At 36.6% G+C, this 8,841-nt stretch overlaps 1 annotated feature.

Annotated features, from left to right (window-relative positions):
• Positions 705–1,431: an enhancer, noted in NCBI's record as "OCT4-NANOG hESC enhancer chr8:112928926-112929652 (GRCh37/hg19 assembly coordinates)". NCBI's record gives its function as "activates a minimal SCP1, AML or CMV promoter by ChIP-STARR-seq in naive and primed H9 embryonic stem cells {active_cell/tissue: H9 hESC(naive and primed)}" and the evidence as "EXISTENCE:reporter gene assay evidence [ECO:0000049][PMID:30033119]".

Raw genomic sequence — 8,841 nt, forward strand, 5'->3', positions numbered from 1 at the left:
CCTGTCTTAGTTCATTTTCTGTTCCCAAAACATAATACCTCAGACTGAGTAATTTTTAAAGAAAATACCTTTCTTTCTCATAGTTCTGGATGCTGAGAAGTCTAAGAGAATGGCACTGGCAGCTGGTGAGAGTCTTCCTGCAATGTCATACCATGCAAATACGCAGAAGGGCAAAAAAGCACTTGTGAGAGAGAGCTCACTTTTATAAGTAAATCACTCCTCCAGTAACTAACCCACTCCCATTATAATGGCATTAATCTATTCATAAGTGTGGAGTTCCCATGACTACACACTTGTTAAAGGCACCACTTCTTAATCCTTTTATATTGGCAATTACATTTCTAACACATGCACTCTTGTGGGACACATGTAAACCACAGTGTTCCAACCCAACTTCCAAAATTTGTGTCCTTCTCACATGCAAAATGTAGTAATTCCATCCCAATAGTCTCAAAAGTCTTAAATTACTCCAGTATCAACTTAAAAGTCCCAGTTTCATCTAAATTAGAGGTGGGATTCAAGGCATGATTCACCCTGAGGCAAATTCCTTCAGCTGTGAGCCTGTGAAATTAAAACAAGTTATCTACTTCCAAATACAATGGTGGAACAAGCATAGGATAGACATTCCATTCCAAAAGGGAGAAATAGGCAAGAAAAGAAGGGTAACTGGCTCTAAGTTTTAAAGCTGTAGAATGATCTCCTTTGACTCCGTATCTTGCATCCTAGACACACTGGGGTGAGAGTTGAGTCGCCAAGGCTTCAGGCAGCCCCATCCTTAGGCTTTGCTGGGCTCGGCCCACACAGCAGCTCCGATGGGCTGGATGTTTTAGGGGTTCAATCAGGATGGTGGGAGAAATTGTAAAATAAACACAAATCTTCTTGGAAGGCCAGAAGGTTTCTGCTAAAGCCTCAGGAGAGAGTTATGGCTGAAGGCAGCCTAATCCTCTTTGAGCTATAGCAAGGGTAATTTAACATAGGAATGTAGAGGAGTCTATCTAAATAGCTTGTTTACTCATGTGGTCCTAAGACTAACCTTTGACTATCCGTGGGTCCATGATTACTCTCTAAGCGGGGAGTCAGCAATGGTAATTACCTTCTAGTGATGTTTACTTGAGACCTTTGTTATTTGATGTGTGCTGAATAAATGCCAGCAGGGCCAGCAAGTTGAAGTCATGGCTGCTGACTATAGCACCTTCCTTGGTGTCTGTGAGTGGCTCAGACCCCTAGCTGCTCTTTCACTAAATATTGGTGTCTGGGTACATTATTCATCTATTGGGCAAGCTGGAGTCTGCAGGACAGACCCCCACAGGATGTCTCATGCATGCAGCCTTCCAAGGCTGCAGTTGCACGGCGATAGTTCTACAATTCTGGGGACTTTGGGGTGGCTCTACTTTCATGGCCCCTCTAGGCATTGCTCTATTGGGCACTCTCTGTGGCAGCTCCAGTTCTACATTTCTGCTCAACATTACCCTAGTAGGGGCTCTCTGTGGTGGCTCCATTTCTGTGGCTGTTTTCTGCCTAGGCTTTCATTCAGTCTGCAAATTATTTGAAATCTGTATTGAGAAAGCCATACCCCCTCATTTCTTGCATTCTGTGTGCCTTCAGAATTAGTACCATGTGAATGCTGCCAAAATCTATGGCTTGTATCTCCTAGAGTGGAAGACTGAGTCACAGCTGAGGGTGCTTAAGCCATAGCTGGGGCAGTCACAGGATGCTGCACCAGAGTTCTGAGGCAACTCTTGGCAGTGAGCCCATAGAGGGTACCCTAGACTCATCTCCCAAAACCATTCTGCTTTTTTAGAGCTCTTGGCCTGTGATGGAAGGGGCAGCCCTGAAGATCTTGGAAATGCCTTCAGGAACTTTCAACAGGACACACTGTGTTGATGAATAGCATCTAGCTCCCTTAATTCTACAGTAATCTTTTTAGCAAATAATTTCTCAGACACACCCTTAGTATTCTGTTCCTTATTATTCTCTCCCAAGTGTGGTTTTCTACTCTTTATGATAATCAGGCTGTGAATTTTCTAATTTTTCCCCCATTTCTCTTTTAATCGCATAGTATGACTTTAAGTCATTCCTTTGCTCTTTCATCTCACTGTATGTCCTTACAAGTAACCACAGAGCAACCTGAACACATTGCTACTTAAAAACATTTCTTCTACCAGATATTTTACTGTGTCATTCTTTAATTCTGCCTTCTATAAAGCCCTCAGGCATGGAAACAATTCATCAAAGCTCTTCACTGCTGTATAATAAGAATGTTACTTACCACAGTTTTCAAAACTTGTTACTCATTTCTGTCTTAGATCCCAACAGAATGGTCAGTACTGCCCATATTTCTATGTTGATAGAAATCAGTCATTCTCATCACAACCACTTAAGTAATGTCTAAGAAGATTCAGACCCTATGGCTCTCTTCTTCTGAGCATTCACCAGAATCTCTCTAAATGTTCTGTTCACTGCAATACAGGCTATTTCTGGCGTATTCCTCCAAAGTATTTTAGCCTCTACCCATTACCCAATTCTAAAACTGTTTTCACATTTTCAGGTATTTGTTATAACAACAGTTCTACTTCTGAAGACCAATTTCCTGATTAAGCCTATTTTCTTCTGCTGAACAGAATACCACAGACTGGATAATTTATGTAGAAAATGTATTTCTCATGGTTCTAGAGGCTGGTAAATCTAGAATATGGTGCTGACATCTGGTGAGCGCCTTCCTACTGTGTCATCACATGGTTGATAGGAACACAAGGGAGTGTGCGTGTGGAAAAAAAAAACTCACTTTAAAAAGAAAGCCACTCTGATGATAATTAACCCACTCCTGTGATAACAGCATGAATCCATTCATGAGGGTGGTTCCCCATGACCTAATCACTTCATAAATGCCCTGTTAACACTATTACATTGGCAATTAAATTTCTAACACATTAACTTTTGGGGCACATATTCAAACTGTGTGAATATCAAGGGGTAGGTTCATCAGTTCTGACTCAATCAGAGAATGATTTCCAGGAGCTCAGTTCCCTTAGAAATGAAATTTTAAATGACACTACCAGGTAAGCCACTGAGACCAGTGGAGGTGATAGCTAAGAACATAAGGAATTAAGAATTTTTAATGGAGAAAGGAGGTAATGAATACCAGTTACATCCTAAGACTCACTGTAGTGGTGAGTGTTGTAATTTATCTCGCTATCCATCCTCTTTTAAGTTTTTCCTTAGAAAGTCCTCTATTGGTACCTTGGAGGGACTGCTGTCAAAATATATGGAAAAGTGGGTCTGTGTGGTACAAGAGGTGGACTTTGCCACACATGGAGGTTTGCTGCCAAGATCTTCACTAATGAAAGAAATCACCAGTGAGCTGCACAGATTAGCCAAATACTGAGCTCATTAGAACTACTAAGGCCTGGACATTTCTGCCTAATCCAGGACTCCTGTAATTATCAGTCTTTGCTTTGGAGCTTCCCATTGTGTAGCTGAGAATTTGTCATATCTGCATTATAATCTAAGGCTCCACATACTTAATCCTGCTTCTCCCCCTTTTTCTTTCCCTTTCCCAGCGGTCAGCTCTGCTGCATAGTCTGAAGACTTTCCCTGCCCAATCCTGATAAAATTCTTGCACTCGTAACCCCATCTCAGTGTCTGCTTTCCAGAACACCCGATAAACACAGTAGTTAACTTAATCACGGTCTAAATGAATCTTAATTTCATAAATTCCCAGGACCCATAGGAAACTAGTCTCATATATAATCCTCACTTAGCATCTGGAAGTAATGTAGGTTTCTCTATCCACCTTCACAGAATCTCATCAAAGCAGATTTAACACTTTCTTAATTCTGGTAAACCTTATATCTCTGTAGTCTTGAACTGACAAGACTAAAATTCTCTTCTTTAGTCAGTGTGCTATAAAAACAAGTAGCTTTTATTCCTGAAAGAACATGTAATTTATTCCAACATATTATTCAGTAAGATTTTGAATTGTAATTCTTAACCACCATTCATAACTAGTATTAATAACTACAGAACAATGTAGATGAAAAGCAGGAGTAGGCGTTTTGAAGATATGGGAATAAAATTTATATGAGAAGTGCCTTAAAAACTAGCGGAATGCAATTGCCTTATTCTGGGTAGTAAAGGTGGGTGATTTTTCTATCCAATCCTTCTTTTGTATTGCTTCATTTTATTAATTTAGAAAAGATTCACCAATCTGTTGAACTCAAGAAAAAAAATACTTCCTTAAACTTCTTGGTCAGTTAATGTGTGATCCCAAGAGTCAAAGTTAGCCACTATGACTCCCCACTATATACGCACCCTTAAAACTGTAAAATAAAATATATCCCTCTTTTTGAGATAAATTAAAAGTAAACAGTGGAGGGGTAGAGAGTAACAACAGTGGGAAATATGCTGTAGTTTAGTATTTAAAACCAGTTGTGTGGATAAAAGCTCATATGAAAAAATTTCTGGGTCATTATAATTAATAGGGTATAGACTGAGAAAAAGTTCCTCTTCAAAAAAATGTTAAGAGTATATATTTGCATGGTGATTTTCCTAAAATAAAATATTGGCTCTTTGTCAGATTATTATCACTATTATTTATAAATAGCAGTACAATATATATTCAAAATACAGCTTACGTGTAGGGGAGGTATTACATTACTCACACTTGAATGCAGTGTAGGCACTGAGCAGTATAAGCTGTTTCCTGGATCATAGTGGAATTGAATTAACTACTATATTAAGCACTGTTTGTTTTGCCCACAAACAGATTTGAATTGAGGGGTTTGGAGGAGAACACCATAATTATAGACAAAAGAAAAAGACAAAATAAATTAAAAAAATCAAATTCACTGACTGAAAGGAAAAAAGAGACCACAGATATGTATGTTAAAGAATATATAGACACCAATCTTATTCAACATGACATTGGAATATCAGCAAGAGCACTATGTTGAGTCTGTTCTAGACATATGAATTAAAAAGGAAAATTAAGAATAACTGACTGCAGGAAATGCAAAGTTAGACCCCTTTGCCCTGACATAGCTGCCTTCAACTTAATTATATCTTTAGTATGTATTTTCTTGTTTAGCCTCAGTGCTTATTTTCTTTTACTTCTCTCTTCCCCACATTTCAAACACATTTCCTGTTGCTTCATTAGGTACTATATATCTTTAGTTTTTCACATACTTTTAGGCAAGCTCTTTCTCTGTCAGTGGGTCCTTGTCAATACATACTTACTTGTGAAGTTTAGTTGTTTTATTGGTTATTGGTTATTATTATGTAGGAAATTATCACAAATTATATAAGAACTAGACAAAATTCTGATAACTTACTGTCCTTATTTAATACAAAATGGAAGTGATCTAACAGTTCATTACCATTATTCCAAAAAAATTTATATTACATAAACTAGATGTTTTTTCAAGGGCAGATTCAATTTTCTTATATTTATAAATTCTGCTTACAGTCGATAATAATCAAAGGTAACTAACACAGATGCAACAACAATAACTTCCCTCAAATTCCTTCCATACTGTGATTCATCACAGCCTTCTTCTCAGGACTACTGTACAAATCCTATGATTTCATGAATAAATATAGTAAAGAACTCTATCAAAACAACATTAATGATCAACCAGATCTACTCCCCAACTACTATTTTGTCTGATGGTAAAAATAGTACATATTCCTTGGGAAAAATTCTACCAGAAAACAAAAATGGTAATAAGTAAGATTAAAAACAAACAACCAAACAATCAAAACTCTGTAATTATAGTATCTAGGGAAAACCACTGTCAGCCCTGAGGTGGCCTCCTCTGACACTGTGGGGTGGGGGACTCATTACTGCAGGGTGATGGCAGAAGCCCTGTCTCTGCACTAGACCTTCTCTGGCAATAGCCCAGTAGGGAGAAGCACAGGTGCTTCATTACTGTCTGGTGGGGTGGAAGTCCAGGCTTCCTATATGGTCTTCATGACTTCACTGGGAAGGGGAATGAGGCTTGTTATAACCTAGCAGGGATTAAAGTTCTGGCTTTCTGAACTTGGACTTCTTTATCCCTACTTTGGCAGGGCCCTAGGGTGCCTTTTATAGTCCAGCAAGTGTGGAATTCTTAATTCCCCACTCAACCTTGGATAGCATAGTTAGGAGTGGAGAAGAGTTTTTCTGTCGTGTTTGGCTAAAGTGGCTATTTTCTAAAAGTTTTTCTTTTCTAGTCTTTTGTCTAGAGAGAACAGGCTTTTGTTGGGGACTTTTTGGTTCTGAAATTGTCCCTTGGTGTTGCTAGTTTCCTGGTATCTTCAGCAACAAGTCTGAGATAAATTAGGCAAAATGAAAACCCAGAGAAAGCACCACATTTATTTCTACATTAGCCAACGGGGATAACTGCATAAGTGTAACTCAACTCAGGTCTGGCTGCTCAGTGCTTGCAGAGCCCAATAACAAGAGCAAGGTATGGTGGAAAGAAAGTGACTTTATTCACCAAAACTAGCAATAGAAATGGCAGGATTCACATCCAAAGTAACCACTTTGAATTTCTGGGGAGAAGGCAAAGGTTTAAAAAGGGAAACTTGATAGAGGAGGCATGTAGGAGTTGTGCTGAGTGGAAGGTCTGTGTATCTTGTTTGGTGGCTATCTTGAGTCACAGACCATCTGGATCGCAGGTTGGCATCATCTCAACAATGGCAAGGTGGCTGCCGAGCTGCCTTGAGGTAATCTCTGGAATTTTGCAGCTGGGTCTCCAGGTTTGGCCTGTCTGTCTCAAGATTAGCCCTTGGAACTTCTAGCTAAGCACATAATTAGATACTAGCATATAATTTGATAAATATGAGAGTATCCTACGGGAAAGGGTAGGTGGGGAGTCTATTTCAAGATTATGGGAAAAGGCTTCTGCAGTTTGCTTCAAGGTTACGTCTCAAAACTAGGGAGAAAATAGAAAGGGGAAAAAGTTAAAATGCATTTTGAAGTTAAGCTGCTCGGTTACTTAAGGAAGAACTTAAAAGGCACATTGAAGAAAATATTGTTGGTTAGTTATATTTAGATTTGTGATCTAAAATATATTTTCTTTTTGTTAGGGATCATTTAATGCTAAATTTAAATATTAAAGTGTATTAAAGATAAGACTCATGCTAATTAGCTCTTGTTGGCTACGGCCCTCTTATCTCTGAAACTTTATCCTGTTGTATTTCGAGAAAATTTTCCATTTATAATTGATCTTATGAGTGATTTGAGGCAGATGTATCCATTTAGTCTAGAAACATCATGTACTAAATATGTTAAAAACTAAGTAGATGATCAATATAATCCATAAGTAAATATACTTACAAATGTTTTCTTTACCAGTAACTCATTATATGTGGTACCAGAAAATGGTGTTAAATGAGTTTACCAAATAATTTCACATATAATGTAATATTTCAGTCATGTAAAATCAGCTGAATTCAGTAGATCTGGGATTATTTCTTTCATTTTACAAATGAGTGGTGGGAGGTGGGGAGTGAGAATGGAAGAGAGAGAGATTAGGTAGTTTGTCCCAAATCATACAACTGTAAAATGAAGAATCTGAATCATCTTTTGGGGTGAATCTTCTATTTTTCAGGACATCAGCTATGAAAAATGAGGAATAATACAGCTTTCAAAGTGTGTTTCACTTTGACTTAGGCTATTCCTACAATTATGGTTAGTGACAACTTGTGAATTATGCTGCCAGATGATCAAATTTTCTCAAATATGGATACCACAAAGATATTTGTTAAAATACAGACCCCATATTTAGTCTATTAGGTATAATTAGGAAATTACCACTTTTATAGGTCAATACAACAAAATATTGGCAATTTCATATTTCAGACTATTATACAACTAATTTTTAGCTTATATAAAATATGATTCCAAGTGATTTTGTTAAACAAAACACTTTTAAGAAAATACTGAATCATTTTACATCTTTGGGATGGCTTTTTTTCACTTACTTGAAGAATATAGCTGCATTTTAATTGAATGTACATTTTAAAACGTATTTTTGTAGAAAATTTACAATCATAACTTCAGTCTACTTTTTTCCCTATGCATACTTTTTGAGATTCAATTTAAAAAGTTCTTTAATACTAATTTTACCTGAAGTTTGGAATAAAAGCAAAAGCCCAAACAATATTACAAGAAACAAGTAGCAAGTAAAATTTGTGGCTTTTGTTGCTATCCAATAAAAATCAAATTTATACTGATTACTTGGTGATTAGGTAGTTGATTCTCAAGGTATTAATTTATTTTAATTCCCATTGAATACTTTTTCTTTCTTTCTTTCTTAGCTTAGTAGTTCTTGATTTGTTTTTTTCCTATTATTTTACAGACTATTATTATGCTATTTTTAACCTCTGTTTCCTATGAAAGGGGCTTCAGTTTTATTTTATACATAAACATATTCTAATTATAAAACAAACCAGTCTCTTAAACACTATTTCTGTGTATATACAGACACTACTTTATTATTTCCTCAAAAATATTCATTTTTTATTCATTTTTACATAGACTTTATGAGTGTTGAATTACTGAACATTTCACGTTTAAACTAGGTAAGAAAAAATAATAGAAGTTAAATTATTGAAAGTGTAGAACTAATACAAAATTGTGTTCAATAGGAAAACCATAATAAAATATAAACTGACTAGGTATCTTAAATCAGAAATAGTAATTCACTGTGTAAAATAAGGAAAGAACTTACACAAGTGACAATGTAAAAATCCAAAATATCGTAATTTAAAAGTTAACCTTTATTGGGCATTTAATGCCAGGCACTGTGTTAAGGGTGTTATGGATATTATATCATTGTATCCTAATACTTGAAACTA

This window comes from Homo sapiens, chromosome 8 (assembly GCF_000001405.40).
Source record: "Homo sapiens chromosome 8, GRCh38.p14 Primary Assembly".
In the NCBI taxonomy this organism is placed as follows: domain Eukaryota; kingdom Metazoa; phylum Chordata; class Mammalia; order Primates; family Hominidae; genus Homo; species Homo sapiens.